General features: G+C 43.9%; 1 protein-coding gene across 3 annotated transcripts in view; it reads left to right on the top strand.

Annotated features, from left to right (window-relative positions):
• ASTN2 (astrotactin 2) overlaps positions 1-18,512 on the top strand; it is a 991,946-nt gene that overhangs the window by 319,792 nt on the left and 653,642 nt on the right. The window lies entirely within an intron of this gene.

The following is an 18,512-nucleotide window of genomic DNA, read 5'->3' as shown; positions in this document are numbered from 1 at the left end:
GATTGTCTATAAGGATGGGAAAGCAGCCAGTTTGAGACTGGATTCTTGGAAGAGACTCTCCTGGGGTACAAACATGGATTCCATGCCAGTGATAAAGGGCAGATCCATCCATGGGCTTTACCCACCCACTGAAAAGAAGGTCCTGTGACAAGTCCAGGTCATGTGGCAGGGAAACTGGTCCTTCTCTCCTACCTCCACAAAGAGGTGTGCTGAGAAGTAGCTGGGGTAGGGAGAAGGAGGAGGAGGAACTTTTCTCACAAACCATGCTGCATGCATTCTATCCATGCACAGTGGACACTGCAAAAGCACAGATCCCCATAACTTCTGTGTGCTCCTTTGGCTCTTAGGCAAGTTATTTGCCTTCTGTAAGCCTCAGTTTTTCATCTACAAGCTGTACCTTGTAACTGCCTCATGGGGTTGTGGATGAATTTTGGTTAAGCTATGTAAAAAATTTATGGTGTCTGGTGTATGCTAAAAGCAAAATAAGTCAGACATTATTAATGTCAGTTCAGTTCTCACTGTTGTTTTTCCTATCTCCTCACCTCTGGCATCTTTCCCTGAAAAGCCCCACGTGGGAGGAGTGTTTCCATTGACACATTACATGGGAAGGGTTTGCAGCCTCTGTAGCCATTGGAAAAATGGGATCTGCCTCTCCCTCCTTCCTGCTCCTCAGCTTTCTCCACTTGATCTTAGCCAGAAAACTGAGAAGCAATCCTCAGCTTCCGGGAACCTGCATTGGAGATTTAGAAGTTGACGATTGATGATTCTTGACTGGTCTTCTCCCTCACACAATCCAGCAGTCAGAATTAGGGCTGGGGAAGTCAATGGGTCCCCTCAGCAGGCCTGGGCTATTTATAGATAATTGGAAAAACATTCATCACTGAGCATGTCCCCTATAAATTGGAGTTCAACTTAGAAAAGCAAAAGCAAGCTACAGGCCTCGAGATGAATGATTTAACCCAGCAACTCCTTTCTTTCTCTCTCCTTCCATCCCTTCATTCTTTCCTCCCTGTCTCCCTCTCTCCCTCCCTTCTTCCCTCTTTCCTTTCCTCTCCTCTCCTCTCCTCTCCTCTCCTCTCCTCCCTCCCTCCCTTCCTCCCTTCCTCCCTTTCTCCCTCCCTCCCTCCCTTAGTCCCTCCCTCCCTCCCTCTCTCCCTCCTTTCTTTCTTCCTTTGATACATACCACAAATATTTGTTCTGCACCAACTACATGCCTGCCACTCTTCTAGGCAGTGGGGACACAAACCAAACAACAATTTAAAATTCCTGCTCTTGTGGGGTTTGTATTATATCAAAATACAAATCTATTAGATGGTGATAAATGCTAAAAGAAAAGGAGACAACAAGGAAGGGAACTGAGAGAATATGGAAGGAATTGAATGCTTAGATTCAGTGAGCATGAATTACCCTACGCTTTTTGCAGGATCACAGGGAGAGCTTTCTTAATACTGTGTTTGATGTTGTTAGGTTGTTGTTGTTGCTGCCGCAGCTGCTATAATTTTTTGTTGTTGAATACAGAGAGTGAATTTGGTTCTGCAACATCTTTGTTCTAGGCAAATGAACTTAGAACCCAATGTCTCAGTCTGCAAGTCCCGCAATTCTTCATGAAAGGGCTGTGATCTGTTTTTTTCTGTTTCATATAGTTTGGGCAGGAGTTAGGGTGCCTTCAGCATTCACTGACTTAATGGGAAAAAGGCACAGGACAGAGGTGAGCCAAGGGAGGTCCAGGAGCCCTTGGTGATATAAGAGCAACAGAGCATAGTACTAAAAGCATGGATTCTGGTGGTGGGTTACGTGGGTTCAAATCCCAGCCCCCCCACTTACTGGCAATGTCATATTAATCATGGAACTTAACGTCTCTGTGCATCAATTCCCTAAGTTGTAAAATGAGGATATTAAGATGAAAGCATAGAGAGTTGTTCTAAAGATTAAAATTACTTGAAACCTGCAAGGCATTTAGGTGGAGATAGGGAGGGAGAGAAATTGTGGCAGAGTGAAGTTGCTGAGAAGGACCATTGGATTTACTATGGGGACAGGAAGGGAGTCTCAGATCTGCTACCAACTCACTGTGTGACCTTAGTAAAGTCTCTTTTGTTATCCAGATCTCTGTTTTTCAATCTGAAACATGGGAGAGTGGACGGGTGGATCTTCTCTGAGATCTCTTCTTACTTGTGTGTGAATGGGACATGGGGCATATTTCTGAGAATCTCCTGTTATTGGGATATACCTGGCTTCCAGCTTCAGGTTCCTTTGCACCCTGTTTACCTCCCCCATGTCCAGTGCCACTCCCCTTTCCTGTTTCTCTCCTTTAGGGTCTAACTGTGACACTAGAATGGTTCTGTTGTCCCCTTTGGCTGGGCTGATGGGTTCTTTCTTCCCTACACCCCCAGGCCTGCCTGGACCTGTAACATCCCAGTCCTCTCCTATTCCTCTGCCATCACCATTTCAGCTCCTCTTTAGCAAAGGCAATGACTCAGCAGTTCCCTGCAGTCTGCCCAGGGGTGTGTGAGCCAGCCCAGCGGTGACACAGAAGAGATGATGAAGTTCAAGGAGGTAGGGGAAGAAAGAGATAAAAGTACCAGGAAAGGCAGTTCCCTGTGCTAGTTGAGAATGGTCATCTAATAGCATTTGGGACTCCATATGAATTCACTGTAACCATTTCAGGTCTATCTGAAAAATAGGAGCTGAGCTGTGTTTTCCAAATCTCGAGGCATGTGGGCTTTGATAAAGACATTCAACTTTACCATCTTTGAAGTACTCAGAAGGAAGTTGAGTCTTTGGGGCTATCTGTGTGTGACAGGAACAGTGATTTTCAGTCCTGGCTTTGCCACCACGTTTCTGTGTGACCTTGGCCAAGTCCCTGCTGGTCTCTGAGTCTCACTTTTTCAATCTCTAAGTAGAGATTTAAGAGGAGTGCTCAGAAGCAACTAGATCAGCACTGGTTAAGGGCCCTGCACTGCAGTTCAGACTGTTTCAGATGTTAGAAGATTTTGGAAGACAAAGTTATTGAACTGAGCGTTTCAGATTATCCCAGCTTTGGGAGAAGAAAGACACAATAAACAGCAGCTAAATGTGGGAGGGCTTCCTGAAAGAGTTGAGGCTGGGAAGTTGCCTGAGTCTCAGACATGGCTCTGCCCCTTTTCATCCATGGGACATGAACCAGTATTCTCAAATTCCCATCTTTAAAATGCAGTCACTACATCTCCTTCACAGGGTCATTGTGAAGATTAAAATAATGAGTATCTCCTTTATAACTTCAACTTCTGCCAACAAGTTCTCCCCTTCTCTACTGCTGCCATCCTAGTCCCTGCCACCTGCATCCTTTGCTTTAAAACTGCTAAAAGTCCTCTCTTGCTAAGTCTCCCTTGCTGTCTTCCAGTCCATTCTCAATCATGTAGCCAGAGTGATCATCTTTACAAATGTAAGTAGGGATCATGTTGTTTCTCCTCTTAGAAGCTTTCAATGCTTTCCTTTTGTTTTCAGGATGAAATGGAAACTCCCTACACACCTGCAATCCTGAGTGATCTTGCCCTGACTCTCTCCCCAGGGCTCTGTCCGCTCCTTCCCTCCCCACTCCACCTCTCCCCCGGGGCCTCTTCCCCAGCACTCCTGCATCTGTCCTGCCACAGCCTTCACAACATTTGTCTCCTGGAATGCTCTTCCCTGCCGTTTGACTCATTCACCTGCCCCCCCATCACGTGAGACCTCCACTTAAATGGCATATTTTCTGCAAAGCTGTCCATACCTGAGTTAATTTCCCTGTCTCATTCTATACCAGATGCTGTGCTGTACCCCCCTTTGTAGACTTGGTCACCACTATAATTTTACACTTACTGATATGCTCCCTGAGTACTATTTGTGTCCTCCACTGAACTGGAAACTTCACGAGCATAGACACATTGTCATTTGTGTCCAGTTTTGTCCTCAACATCAAGCACAGGGGGATGGGCTCATAGTAGGCACTGGGTGAATATTTTGAATGAATGAATGAATGATGAGTGAATGTTTGAAAGAAACACCTGCACAGTGTTTGGCTTATAGGTGTTCAGGATGGAGGCTGATTTTCTGTCTGCCACCTCTTGTTTTGTCTCGCTTTATGCCTGCCTGCTGGGAAAGGGCCTGCTCTCCTCTTCCCTTCTTTTTCCTGCTCCTGGTAAGCAGAGCTGGGGCCTTACCTCTCCCTATTTTTCTACTGCAAGGCCACCAGGAAGGCCATGCCCAGCAGTGGCAAGAGGGCCTTGGTGGTGAAAAGCACACTCTGCCTGGGTTCTTTGAGTGTGACTGTCCTGTGTGCCATCTGGGAACGATGTAACCAGGCCAGAAGGCTGCATGGCAGAAAAGGTTACACTGAGGGCTAGTGGTGGGAGTGGGGCATGGAGGAGAAGGAGAGAGGAAATCTCTAACAAGTGTTTGTACATAGATCTCTCTCTTAGCATATCCCATGAGAGAAATAGGACTGGCATTAGATTCAGCCAGACCTGGCTGTGAGTCCTGACCTCACCTTGTCATCCCTTCCATGTGGCCCTGGGTGGATTTTAACCTGTGGGTGCTTCCCTTTGCATAAAATGGAGCTGTTGACACCTGCCTCACAGAGTAAGCACCCAGTGGAAGGTGCTGGGTCTTACCCAAAGATGCCCAAGAAATATTTGTTCTGTCTTCTAATATTTTCTTTCCCTTCAAAACATTCTGAGCTCCAAACTAAATCAGCTCAAATCCCATTTTCAGCAATAGGATCCATTATGAAAGAGATTTGACATATAGTTTGGAAGTACTTTGTCTTTCCTAAGATTTTGGCTCTTTGTAAGGAGAATGGGACTATTTTGGAGGGGTGTCTGGTATTTCCAGGTAGAACTTCTTCCCAAAGCACAGAACTGTAGCCATCAATATGGAGAGTGGAAGGAAGGAGAAAAAGGCAAAGGGATGGAGAAAAAGAGGTGGAGAGACCAAGATATGCGTGTCTGGTGGGATTTCCTAAATAAGGGGCCAGCAACATTTTTCTGTAAGTGGCCAACTAATAAACATTTTCAGCTTTGCAGGCCTTCCAGTCCCTGTTGGACCTACTCAACTTTGTTGTTAGACTGTGTGAAACCTGCCATAGGCAACACATAGATGAATGGACATAAATATTTTCTAATAAACATTATTTTTAAAAACAGGTGCTAGTTCAGATTTCACCCATGAAACTTAGCTGACTCCTGCCTTAAACCATTGATATGTTACCCTCACCTGTATGTCTGGTCCAGGAAGCATGTGTACAAATTCACCATGCTCTGTGAAAATAAGTCTAACCCCATATCATATATGATCATTCTGTCTAAGTCTATTTGTTGCCCATCAATCAATAAATGGATAAAGAAACTGTCGTATATATACATGATGGAATACTACTTGACCATAAAAAGGAATGAATTAACGGCATTTGCCACAACCTGGATGAGATTGGAGACTATTATTTTAAGTGAAGTATCTCAGGAATGGAAAACCAAACATCATATGTTCTCACTGATATGTGGGAGCTAAACTATGGTGACGCAAAGGCATAAGAAGAATACAATGGACTTTGGGGACTTGGGGGGAAGGGTGGGAGGGGGGCGAGGGATAAAAGACTACAAATAGGGTACAGTGTATACTGCTCAGGTGATGGGTGAACCAAAATCTCAGAAATCACCACTAAAGAACTTATTCATGTAACCAAATACCACCTGTACCCCAATAACCTATGAAAAAAAATAATAAAGAATGGGGAAAAAAACACAAAAAATAAATAAAAGAGTCTATTTGTCATGCAAGGCATTCTATGTTTGATCAAGTAAATAACCCTCCAGTATATCATTGTTTTAAGTGTGCCAATTCTGATGGCATTTTACAGAATTAAGTAATAAACTAGCTAATGTAGTAGGTTACTAGTGGGAAGAATTTAACATATATTCATCGGAGATAGTACTCCATAGAGCAAAGAATGTTGGACTCAGAGTCAGGAGATGTGTGCTCAAGTCCACACCTCACCATTAACTAGCTTAGTGACCTTGGCAAGCCTGTGCTCCCTCGGGACCTCAACTTTCTTATTGTCATACAAGGATATTTACATCATATGTCATCAAGACTGAGCCCCGTTGTAGTTTAGCCTGTATGTGTGGAATAAGCAACCCTAATAACCATGCTGCTGGGCAGTGAGAAAATGGAGCCTCAGCACCGAACCTCACAGTGGTTACAGTCTCCGGAGGCAAGGAGTGTGCAAACTCACACAGGGAAGCGTTGCTAATCAGGATAAGCTTCTGTACAGCTGAAAGTCCAGATGAGAAGTGCAGGTGGTTTGCCCAGCCCTGGGCACAATGCTGAGCAGGAGACGGAGCTGTTATAGCTGCTGGATCATTTCAGCAGTGCAGGCACCCAGCATGAACCTCCCAGCCCAGCTCTGTGCTGTATGGGTTTGGGTGCATCTGTCTCCCTCTCTGGACCTCGCTTTTCTCATCTGCAGGTTGCTCAGCCAGTTATAGAAATCCAGGTTTTCTGATCCCCAATCTCAGGTACTTTCCTCTAAGCTTTGCTGCTTAGTTCTCCAGCAGAGAGAACCAGAGCATGAATGCTACTGGTTGTCTTATTTCTTTGTTTTTGTTGCTTGTTTTAATTTGGCAATTCCTAAGCTGGGATTTTCTGTAACTAAGAACCACTGAATCCATAAGCAAAACTTCGTACTAAGGTATGTGGATGTATGGCTTTTCTTTATGATTCTCCTCCCACCTCCAACACACACAGTTTAATCCTGTTTTCGAGGAAAAGGATAGGTGAGGAAAAGTTCAAGTCATATCTGCAGAGGAGGCCTTTGGGAACTGAAGCCTCCTGTTATGAAATATAAGCCATGAGTCCCAAAATGGATCAGAGACTCCAGGAAATGAAAATGGGATGAAGTGAAAGCTGAGCATCTGTGGAAGAGTACCTGCCAAGGTGTGAGGGCGGATGGTACGTGGTACACTGGGGAAGGGGGTGGAGGAGAGATGCCAGAACTGAGTAGAGCCCAAATTCATGTGCAGGAATGATGGAAAATGAGGCCGGAGAAAGAGGCAGCAACTGTGCCTTGACCACTGACCAAGGGCTTACCTCATCCTTTATCCATCACTTCTCATCAAGCAACAAGGTTCCGTTTCACTCTAAAGGTAATCCATTCAGTCTTCCATTTTATGCACATAAAAACCAAGGCTCAGAGAAGGGAAACATTTTCCTCAAGGTTAAAAATGTCATCTCCTCAAATGACAAATCAAATGGGGCAAAATGTTAACAACAGGTGAAGCTAGGCCAAAGATAGATAGGCATTCTTTGTACTCTTCTTATCTTTGCAACTTTGTCAGGTTGAAATTATTTCCAGTAATATACCCAGAAAATAATGGGGCTTCTAGGTTGTACATAAGCACTGGAATCAGTAGACATGGGTTCAGATCTTTGCTCTGCCATTTCCTAGCATTGCAGAACCTAAGGCAAGACACATTTGTTCTCTGACCTCAGTTTCTCTTGGGTAAAGGAGGATAAGTGTAGCAGTTGTCCTTCTGTTCTCCTTTGGGCTTGTTATGAGGATTAAATGAGATAACATAAGCAGAGGAAATGCTTAGCCGAGTGCATCCACCATGCAATTGTTTCATTGCTAGCCAGTTACAGCACATCAGTGCCTGAGCCACACAGGCTCCAGGTCCTCTTTCTAATGTACCAGCTTGAAAATTAATCTGCCTTCTAGAAAAACAATAGTGACCAGGCGCAGTGGCTCACTCCTGTAATCTCGGTACTTTGGGAGGCCAGGGTGGGTGGATTACTTAAGCCTGGGAGTTCCGGACCAGCCTGGGCAACATGGCGAAACCCCATCTCTACAAAAAAATTAGCCAGATGTAGTGGCATGTGCCTTTAATTTCAGCTACTCAGGAGGCTGAGGCTGGAGGATTGCTTGAGCTCTGGAGGTCAAGGCTGCAGTGAGCCATGATTGCACCTCTGCACTAAAGACTGGGCATCAGAGTGAGACCCTGTCTCAAAAAACAAACAAACAAACAAACAAACAAACAAAAAGAAAAAAATGAAAAAGGAAAAGAAAAAAACAATAAACATTTTTCTTGAAAATGTGAATTTTGTAGGCCTAGCCCCTTGGGGATATTGTGATGCAGCTTTTCACGTCACCATCCTCTGCTTCTTGCCTAAATTTAGGTAGCCTTGCTCATGGGCAGATCTACTGGCTGCCCTTTGCCAACCTGCAGAGAACGCCCCCAGGACCTGCTACTCAGAACAGAGTAAACACTGAAGACAGATCAAGCAGTATTCTATCAGCCTCTAAGTCATTGTAGCCAGAGTAACATGGGAGAGAGGGCTAGGCTTTAAGGAGAGGAAATGGTGTCCAAGATATGGGGCAGATCAGCCTGCTACTCCCTACCCTGCAGGGATTCCCACTGAAGACATGACTAGAGGCTCAAGAAAAAGGGTTAGCTAGAGGACCCACAGGTGAATGCATCAGCGCCTTCATGGGGTGGGTTTATCTGGTTATTACAGGGCCTGGACATGGGTACAGGGAAAGCCGGGAGAAGTGAAGACAGGGTGGAAAGCCAGGGGAGAAAGCGCTGGGTGAGGGACAGGAGGAGGAAGAGCCAAGCAAGAGGATGTCATGAAATCACTGGAAGTCCTAAGACTTGGGTGTTTTGTTTTTGTTTGTTTGTTTTTGAGATGGAGTTTTGCTCTTGTTGCCCAAGCTGGAGTGCAATGGTACGATCTCAGCTCACTGCAACCTCCACCTCCTGTGTTCAAGCGATTCTCCTGCCTCAGCCTCCCAAGTAGCTGGGACTACAGGCACGTGCCACCATGTTTGGCTAATTTTTTGTATTTTTAGTAGAGATGGGGTTTCACCATGTTAGCCAGGATGGTCTCGATTTCATGACCTTGTGATCCGCCTGCCTCGGCTTCCCAAAGTGCTGGGATTACAGGCGTGAGCCACCGCACCCGGCCAAGACTTGAGTTTTAATCCTAGGTGTCTCTTGTTTGGTTAAGAGGCTTTGAGCAAGGCTTTGGGCCTCAGTTTCCTATCTGTAGACCAGCAAGGTAGAATATGACCCTCTCTGAGTTCACAATAAAACCATTCTAGGGTCCATAATAGAAATGGGTTCAACAAGAAGGGAGATAGAGGAAAAGAACAGAAGAAACTGTATTAGTTTTATTGAATTATCTCTATGCTGTTCTGTCCTGTCTAAATGCATGATTTCATATTATTCTAAACAATACCAGGAGAAGGGATTATTCTTCTCTCCATTTTACAGATGAAGAAACTAAGAATTGAGAGGGTTCACTTTCCTGAGGCTGCCATGAGTTAAGGGAAGCTTGAATTTGTATTTAAGCTATTTGATTTCAAAATCTGGTCAGGCCATTATAAGGATGAATGAGATAAATCATGTAAAGTGCATACAACAGTGCCTGACACAAGGTATATACTCAAAAAGAGACAGGAAGAGGATACCCATGTCTGTGTCTGATACAGCAAACCTGATCATATCCCTGAGAACTTCCTGGTATCAGCTCTGTAACCCCTGAGATGTTGGGGAAAGGTAGCCTGGGAGGGGCTGGGACCAGAAATAGTCGTGGTCAGAACCAGCTCAGGCACTGAAAAGTTAGTTCAGTATGGAGGACAAAAGGCAGCATCCGTAGGACCAGCCGTCCCAGGGCACCACCAACAAAGGGGGCCTGGTATTTGGTCAGGTAGGAAAACGTATGACAAGGATGACTTCCAGTGCTGTGCAGGGACCAGCCCATCCCAGTTTATCGAGAGCCTATTGTACTCATCTCTTCCCAACTCTGCTGTGAGTGATGCCACATTGGGAGCTTGTAATCAGCCATAGGAGAAAGATTCAAACTATGGAAACTGGAAAATACTTAAAATATTTTAAAAGAGCTGCTTGCTCTTGCTGGGAGAGCCCATTGTTAAACAATTACCAGCACACCACTGGGGAGAACTGTCAGTAAGAAGTAAGAACTTAGCCACAGGCTAGGATTCAAAGACCATTTTCTAGAAATAGTCTAAGCAATCCAGAATCTTCCCCGAGGATGATGCACTAGATGATGAAGGGTTGTGGGGGGCATGGAGGGCAGGCACAAAGCAAACTACAACATCCAAGGCCCAAGGAAGAGGATTCCTTTTCAGAAACAGAAGACAACAAGGTCAGCTGGAGAAGCTGAATATTTAGGGCCTGCATAGGAGGCTGGGCACTCTGGTGCTTCCTACTTGAGAGAATCGTGAGTTCTAGGACCTAGATCAAGGCAGGTGTCCTAGGCTGTGTGGGAAGAAGAGCTGTCAGGGCTGGGTAGTTCTTTAGCCTAAATAAATCTCAGAATCACTTTTTAAAATGCCAATTCCAAGAATCAACCCATTTCATAGGACTGTCTGGCCAAAAGTCTGGATATAAGTATGAAATCCTTTTCAGATTCTAATCATTTAATATTAGCCAGCATCGAGAACCACCACTCTCAAGCTTCCTTGATATATCAGCCAACAACACATTCCAATTCCCATCCTGGCTTTGGGCCCCTATGGAGTGTATCCCCCCATTTCCCAAGCCTGGAACTTAGATAACCATTATAAGGGGAATAACTACTTATAGCAACTATGTATTAAGTGTCACTTTTGTATCAGGTCTATTGCACATTCATTAATCTTCCTAGCAATCAATTGTTGTCCTTGTGTCTATTTAAAAGAACAAAACTGAAACTAAACAGAGTAGCTTCTTCAAGATAATGGAACCAATAAGTTGCGTAGCTGTGGCTTGAATTGGGTTTCGGTTGGCTCCAAAGACTGTTCATGGTCACAATCCCCCAGAACTGTCCCCTAAGAGAACTTTGTAGGTTTTTGCTCATTTTTGCTTACCGTAACTCTTGCTCAAATGTTCAGCTGTTTGTGGTTTGTGGGAGTGGACTCCTTCCTCCAGAAGGTTCTGGTAGTTTATACAGGCTTTCTGGAGAGATTCTAGTTTCTCTCACGGACAGAGAAACTGGGAGTTTGGATTCCCTTTACTTGCAAGCACAGTAAAATGCAGTAAAATACAGAAACCTAGCTTTGATCTACATCTGCATTTGGCCCTATTTAACGAGACATTAGAGAAGAGAAAATTATGTATTCAGAAATTGTTATGGGCTTAAAAAGCTCCTATCTGTCTCTATTCTCTCCCTTCCTTCAAACCTCAAAGAAAATAGACATTGGCTTTTTTTTTTTTTTTTCTTAAAGATCCCTTCTGGACTACTTCTACCCAAACCCACAGAAACGTCAAGCAGTCTTGGCAAATGAGGGTTCCTTGAATGCAGAAAGAAAGCCAGCTAACTATAAAAACTCCCTCCTCCAGCCCATGATGGTCCCTGAAATATTGTTTAAATTGTTCTCTGTACTCCTCTTCCTGTGCAATGCCAGCCAGCTCAGCACCTGACAGCCCGCCATCGAAGGGAGGGAGATGGCTGTCAGGAATCAAATGGGAGACCAAAGGCGATAAAGCAAACATGTCATTTTAGTTGCTTACACTAGCGAGAAGGAATAATCAGTCTCTCTTGCTTTCTTGTTTTTCAACTAGGCTCAGCAGGATTCCCCCACCCGCCTTTCCTTAGAATGAGAGACTGTGACTCTTTGCTTCCCGCCCCAAGCAAGAATACTCTGTCATCCCCTTTCTTCCCAACGCTGTGAGACGGCCAGTGTTCTCTTACCCCTGAAAAACTCTTTTCCAGATAAACAGACCATGCCACTGGTCATGGGCACCCTCTGTATGTCACCAGCTGTGTGAGATGCTTGCATGCATAACCTTATTTAATCCTGACTGTCAGTTTGGGAGATTTTGGGCAAGTAAATGTACATTCCCAGGCCTGGATTTCCTCCTCTCAAAATTGGAAATGATAATCCTATCTCACAGGGTTTTTGTGATGGTTAAATAGTGTCATGCGTTATTAAAATATAAGGTATGTGAAGGAAGACAGTGAGAAAAAGTCTGGGAAGGATAAATTTAGCCAGATTGAGAAACGCTTTGAATGCCAAGTTCATTCATTTTTTTTTATTTGCATAATCAACTAATGTTTACTGAATATCTAATTCCACTGAGACTCTTTGCTGAAGACCAGGAATATGGTGGGAAATAGACCAATAGGATGGATTTCCTTATGAAATTTCTAGTCATGCCAGAGGAAAAAGGGAAGGGAGAGTGTATTTCACAAATAGACACATGAATAAATATATTATTCCAAACTGTGAGGACTGCCTCTGATGAAAAGAAAAGAGGAACTAATGTAATCAGGAGACTCATGAACTATACCTTTAAGAAGCCAATATTATAGCTTATACCTGAAATATGGACGAGAGGTGGCCAAGCTCTAAAAAATGGCATGTCTGTGTGAGCAGGAAAGAGCCTGCACTTGAACCTCCATGAAATGACGAGTCTATGAAGGGTGTTTTTTGTTTGCTTTGTTTTGTTTTTTGAGAGAGTCTCACTCTGTCACCCAGGATAGAGTGCAGTGGCACAATCTCAGCTCACTGCAACCTCTGCCTCTCAGGTTCAAGTGATTCTCGTGCCTCAGCCTCCCGAGTAGCTGGAACCACAGGCATGTGCCACCATGCCCAGCTAATTTTTTGTGTTTTTAGTAGGGATGGGGTTTCACCATGTTGGCCAGGCTGGTCTTGAATTCCTGACCTCAGGTGATCTGCCTGCCTCGGCCAGGAAGGCATTTACTGTTGAAGGAAGGGATCTATTATTTCATTTCTGTTTTAGGAAGATCACACTTTCTACAGAAGAGAAAGAACTGGAAGAGAGTGAGACTGAAGGTAGGGAGACTAGTTAGGAGGTTATTGGGGTAGAATGGGAACACTCTGGGTGAGCATGGGAAGGTTTAGATACAGGAACATGTTAAAAATACAGTTAGAGGAACCCAATGACTGACTGACTCCAAGAAGGTGAGCCACTGAAGATTGCTGAAAGTGAGCATTGGTTTCCAGCATAGGGACTGGGAGAATCACACAGCCAGGCAAGGAAGGAAGGGTAAGTGTTCAGGAGAGAAAGAGACTAGTTGGATTTTGGAGCTGCTGCCTTTGAGGTGCCTGTGAGCCATCCAGATGGGGACATTTGCCAACCAGATCTGAGCTCAGGAGTGTTCTAGTTGAGGGGAGAGTGTGGATGTCAGCACTCTGTGGTCGTGTATTAGTTTCTATGAGTAACCAGTTGACAGAAACATAGCAGCTTCAAAGAACATGCATTTATTAACTCCCAGTTTTGTAGGTGAAAGTCCAGTCATGGCATAACTGGGTTCTTTACTCAAGATCATGTAAGAGGCTGAAGTCAAGGGGTCAGTGGACTGCCATTGCAGCTGACATGTAGAATCCTCTTCCAAGCTTATGTGGTTGTTGGCAGAATTCATTTCCTTGTAGCTGTATGAGTGATGTGCCTGTTTTCCTGCCAGCTGTCAGCAGGGACCGTTCTCAGATTTTAGAGGCCGCTCTGAAGCCCTTGCCACATGTCTCCCCTGTAGGCGGTTCACAACATGTTTATTCAAGGCCAGCAGGAGATCATCACACTTTGACTCCCCTCCTTCAAGGCCCGATTCTCTTTTAAGGGCTCACTTGATTCAGCCAGGCCTACCCAAGATGAACTTCTTTCTGATAAACTCATTGTCAACTTATTTGAGACCTTTAGTACATTTGAAAAATCCTTTCACCCTTGTCATATAATGTAATCTAATTATGGAGTGATATCCTATCATAGTCACAGTGGCACCCACATTAAGGGGAGTATACAGACAGTGTGCAGGGGGTGGGAATGTTGGAGGCTATTTTAAAATTCTGCCTCCTACCTGGAGGTAAATAAAGGCATGACAGTAGGAAACTGTTGTAGGAGAGGGTGTAGACTGGAAAGTGAAGGGGCTGAGGGTATGTTTCTTATTTATGGATTCTGGGTAGAACATGTCCTTCCCTCAACATCTTTGGTGCAAATAAAACTAGTGCTCCACGTGAAGAAAACAGATGCCACAGCCCAGGGGCATTTGTCATGAGAACAGCTGAGAGACTGCAGGACAAGTGGATTCAGGGGAGATTTGTAACTAACAATGCAAGGCATTCAGCATGCATAACAATGTGCAGTACCCCAAGTCACTCAGTCAAACCCATTCTGTGTTTCACTGGCGAAGGATTTTTCTTCCACAGCTCCCATTGGGCAAATTTGCCATATGCCTTTTCTAATTGGAGTAGACTTTAGAAAAAGTGGCCTCTACTCTGGTTCAGGAGCTAAAATGCTGGAGAGCTTTGGGAAAGTCCCCTTGGCTCTCTATCCATTACATTTGGGTGTGATGTTTGAAGAAATTGCATCAGAGGCCTCTTAAAGCTCTGAAATTTTATGCTTTTATTCATTTAATACACATTGTAGATTCTAGGAACAGTGTGGTTCTCTGGGGTGTCAGGGGTTAGCAAGACATGACTCCAGCCCTTAGGAAGCTCCTTCCTAGGCTTCTGTCTGTGGAAGAAGTCAAGACCACTGATTCCTAAGCTCATCTCTCTGCTCTAAGGATATCTGTGGACCTGAGCTGTTTCAACCTTATTGGTGGTGGTATGCTCATTGTTTTTACCTTTTCTTCAACCAATGTAAAATAATGTAATAATTCTACTAAAGGGACATAGAAAAATAGAAATAAATGAAAACCTTCGAGAGCTCATTTCATTTTTTCCCCATCCCCATTTCCTGCACACTCTTTCTTATCCTTGCAACCATAATCTTCACACATTTGCACTCCTGTTTTTTTTCACTCGGCATTATATTACCATATTTTTTCTGTGACACTGTACATTTTTCTTGAAGTGCTAAACCTAAACATAGTCATTGTAGCATAATCTCTAATACTGAAAAATTAGAATGAGCCCAAATGTCCAACAATAGGAGGATGGCTAAGTAAATGATGATGCATCCACTTGAGAGAATATTATACAGCCAGATAAGTGTGAATGAAGCATGAGTTTTTGAAGGAGGGCAGAATTTACAAACCACAATAATTACTTTTAAGGACAAACAAATCAACTCATTTAAAAAAGAAATATGTAGGTGAATCACAATGTTATATATTATGCATGTATTTACCCTTCTGTTTATTATTTATACTCTGCCTGTTCCTGAAAGGGATTTGAGGTGGGTGGATTTGCTGGAGGTAGTTTAATGTGCAGTGTTTAATTTGTGGTCTTTGGAGCCAGACACACATAGTTATGTGTCCTCGCGGTGTGAACCTTGGTAAGTCACTCTAACCAACCCACGATTTTCTCAGCTGTGTAATGGCCATTCTTGTAGCTCTTTCTTCTATGAGTGGTTTCAAGATTGTAATGAAATAATAAAAGCAACAAACTTAGCACAGGTCCTGGAGAAGATGGTAAGTGATGAACAATTGTAGCCTTAGATCTGACTACTTTAACTTATACAGGAGGAGACTGTGTTTCTATAACTAGGGCAGCTGCTCTCAATTGTCTATGATACAATTAGATTGACCTGAAATCTTGAAAAACAGTGTTCATCCCTTTTATTATTTATTCAAGCCATCATGTATCTGGTCTTGGAATCCCTGGAGGAATGAATATATCTCACTTTTACTTAATTGTGAAAAACAAAGAAGAAAGAGAAAGAAAAATCAAAAGTAAATATCCAGTTGAAAAGGGTTCTAGACCATGAGAAGGTTCCTGACCTTTTTCTCTGTCCATGAAGCATGATGTTGTGAGTAAAGGGCTCTTTCCCCTTGTATCATGGTTCCCAACCCTATCTGCATGGTAAACACACTTAGGTTTAAATAATAAATACCTAACTTTGGACCTCAGTCCAGAGTTTGATTTAATAGGTTTAGGTGGAGACTGGGCATGCTGGTTGGTCGGTCGGTCTGCCTGTCTCTCTCTCACTCTCTCTCGACAGGGTCTCATTCTGTCACTCAGGTTGGAGTGCAGTGGTGCCATCGCAGCTCACACCAGACTTGACCTCCCAGCCTCAGGCAATCCTCCTTCCCCAGCCCCCCAAGAAGCTAGGACCACAGTCACGCACCACCACACGTGGCTAATTTTTTAATTATTTGTAGAGGCAGGATCTTACTATGTTGCCCAGGCTGGTCTCAAACTCCTGGACTCAAGTGAACCTCCTGCCATGGCCTCTCAATGTACTGGGATTACAGGTGTGATTCACTGCACCCGACCATCTTTTTAAAAGCTCTTCAGGAGCAACCATAGTTGATGGCCGGGTGCAGTGGCTCAAGCCTGTAATCTCAGCACTTTGGGAGGCCGAGGCAGGCAGATCGCCTGAGGTCAGGAGTTCAAGACCAGCCTGCCCAATATGGTGAAACCCCCTCTCTACTAAAAATACAAAAATTAGCAGGGCATGGTGGCCCATACCTGTAATCCCAGCTACTTGGGAGGCCGAGGCAGGAGAATCACTTGAACCTGGGAGGTGGAGGTTGCAGTGAGCCAAAGTCGTGCCACTGCACTACAGACTGAGGAGCAGAGTGAGACTCCATCTCAAAAAATAAAAATAAAAATAAAATAAAAAGCTCTCCAGGAACAGCCATAGTTGAGAATCATTGCCTTAAGGAACCAAGGCATAGATGGTTAAGACTAGTGGTCTCTGCCCTCCAGCCATTTTCAAGCTATAGAGGGTATAATAAATAATAGAGAATATCAGATCAATTAAATTCTGTGGCCTCGGTTCTTCTCTGGTTAAATAAACTACAATTCTGTAATGTCTTTCCTGATTCTCCAATTCGGTGCTTCTAATAACATGGTATTTTTGTTTTTATTTTTTAACCAAAGTAAGATAATGCAGTGTGAGTCATATGTCCATGGCTGAGGTGCTTTGGAGTAATGGCTTTGGGATACAAAAGACCATAAATCAAGGATGGCTCTTCAATGGATAAAAATATAGAGACAGATGCCTGACGAAATAATGGTGGAAAACTGGAAACAGGGAGAAAACATAATGGGCACTCAAAAAATAACAACTTATTTTTTAAAATTTTCTTCCTCTTTTTGGACCTCAGTTTCCTAATATATAAAGTGGAATGTTGTGTTACATGACTTATAAAGGCTATTCTAGCTCTGATGCTCTACAGGATATTTTTAGCTGGATACAAGAAGACTTGGGTGTGGTGAGAAACAATATTATTTCTATATACAAGTCTAAGGGAGGAGCTCACCTGGGAAGGAGGGTGCGCATTGACTCTTTACAGAAGTCAAGAAGGCAGGGCTGTGCTAACATAGGCTGGGACTTGAAGGGTGCATATTACAGGTCAGCATAAGCAAGACAATTCTGAGTGTCAGAGTTCTTGTCTGCTTCCACAGTGAGTTCCCCATCATTAGATGAATGCAAGCAAAATTTGAACAATAACCTGTGGAGGATGTTCTGAAAGAAATCCAAACATTGGATGAAGGGCCAGGGTTTTTTTTCCTTTAAGGTCCTTAGCAGCCTCAAGAATATCATGACATTGTTTTTAGGGATACTGTTTTTGTTTTGTTGTTGTTGTTGTTATTTAGACAGAGTCTTGCTCTGTCACCCAGGCTGGAGTGCAGTGGCACTATCTTAGCTCACTGCAGCCTCCATCTGCCAGGTTCAAGCGATTCTCTTGCCTCAGCCTCCCAAGTAGCTGGAATTACAGGTGCTTGCCACCATGGCTTCCTAATTTTTGTATTTTAAGTAGAGATGGGCTTTCACCATGTTGCCCAGGCTGGTCTTGAACTCCTGGGCTTAAGTGATTTACCCGCCTCAGCCTCCCAAAGTGCTGGGATTACAAGCATGAGCTACCGCACCCGGCCAGCTCCTTACTTACTTTATAGCTTACTTACCTTATAGCTTACTTACTTTATAGCTCCTCATTTAACTCTTACAACAACCCAGAGAAGTAGAGATTGTGAACATCCCCACCTCACCTCACAGATAAGAACCCTAAAATATGGAAAGTTTAAATCACTTGCTCAGAACTTCACCCAGATAGGAGACAGAACAAGGACAGGAGCTCCATTGAGTCTCGCGCCAAAACTCCTCTCTGTGCTAATGCAGTTGGCCTTCCATCTCTGTTTCTCCACCTGATGGCAGAGCCCAAGCCTGGTTCATATTGATTGTGTCTGTCCCTTGTTTCCTCCCAACCTCTGTCTCTCTCCCCTGCCTGCTCTCCCACATGTATTTATGCTGGGCTGCCTGGTAACAAACGGCTCGTTACCATGCAGAGGGCAACAGCCGGGCGATTAGTGAAATTTGTTACCCATGCGTCTCTGAACAAAATTAAATTAAAAGTGCTGCTTCACTGTCAAGATAAGGGCCAAGCTGCTGAGATAATTTTTCACTCTCAAACACTCAATTACCCAGTAAGGCTGGATCAGATACAATCAAAGGGGAAAAAAGAAGAAAAAGAAAGGAAAAAAATATAGAGGCAGGACCTCCAGGAACAGATGTAAGAGTTGTTATCTCTTTATGGCCAGGGATGTTAAAGAGGCTGTTGTCATGGTGATGGGGCTGGACCACATGAGG

This window comes from Homo sapiens, chromosome 9, assembly GCF_000001405.40.
Source record: "Homo sapiens chromosome 9, GRCh38.p14 Primary Assembly".
NCBI classification, from domain to species: domain Eukaryota; kingdom Metazoa; phylum Chordata; class Mammalia; order Primates; family Hominidae; genus Homo; species Homo sapiens.
The sequence above is the reverse complement of the archived record's forward strand: the minus strand, read 5'-3'. Positions and strand labels throughout refer to the sequence as shown.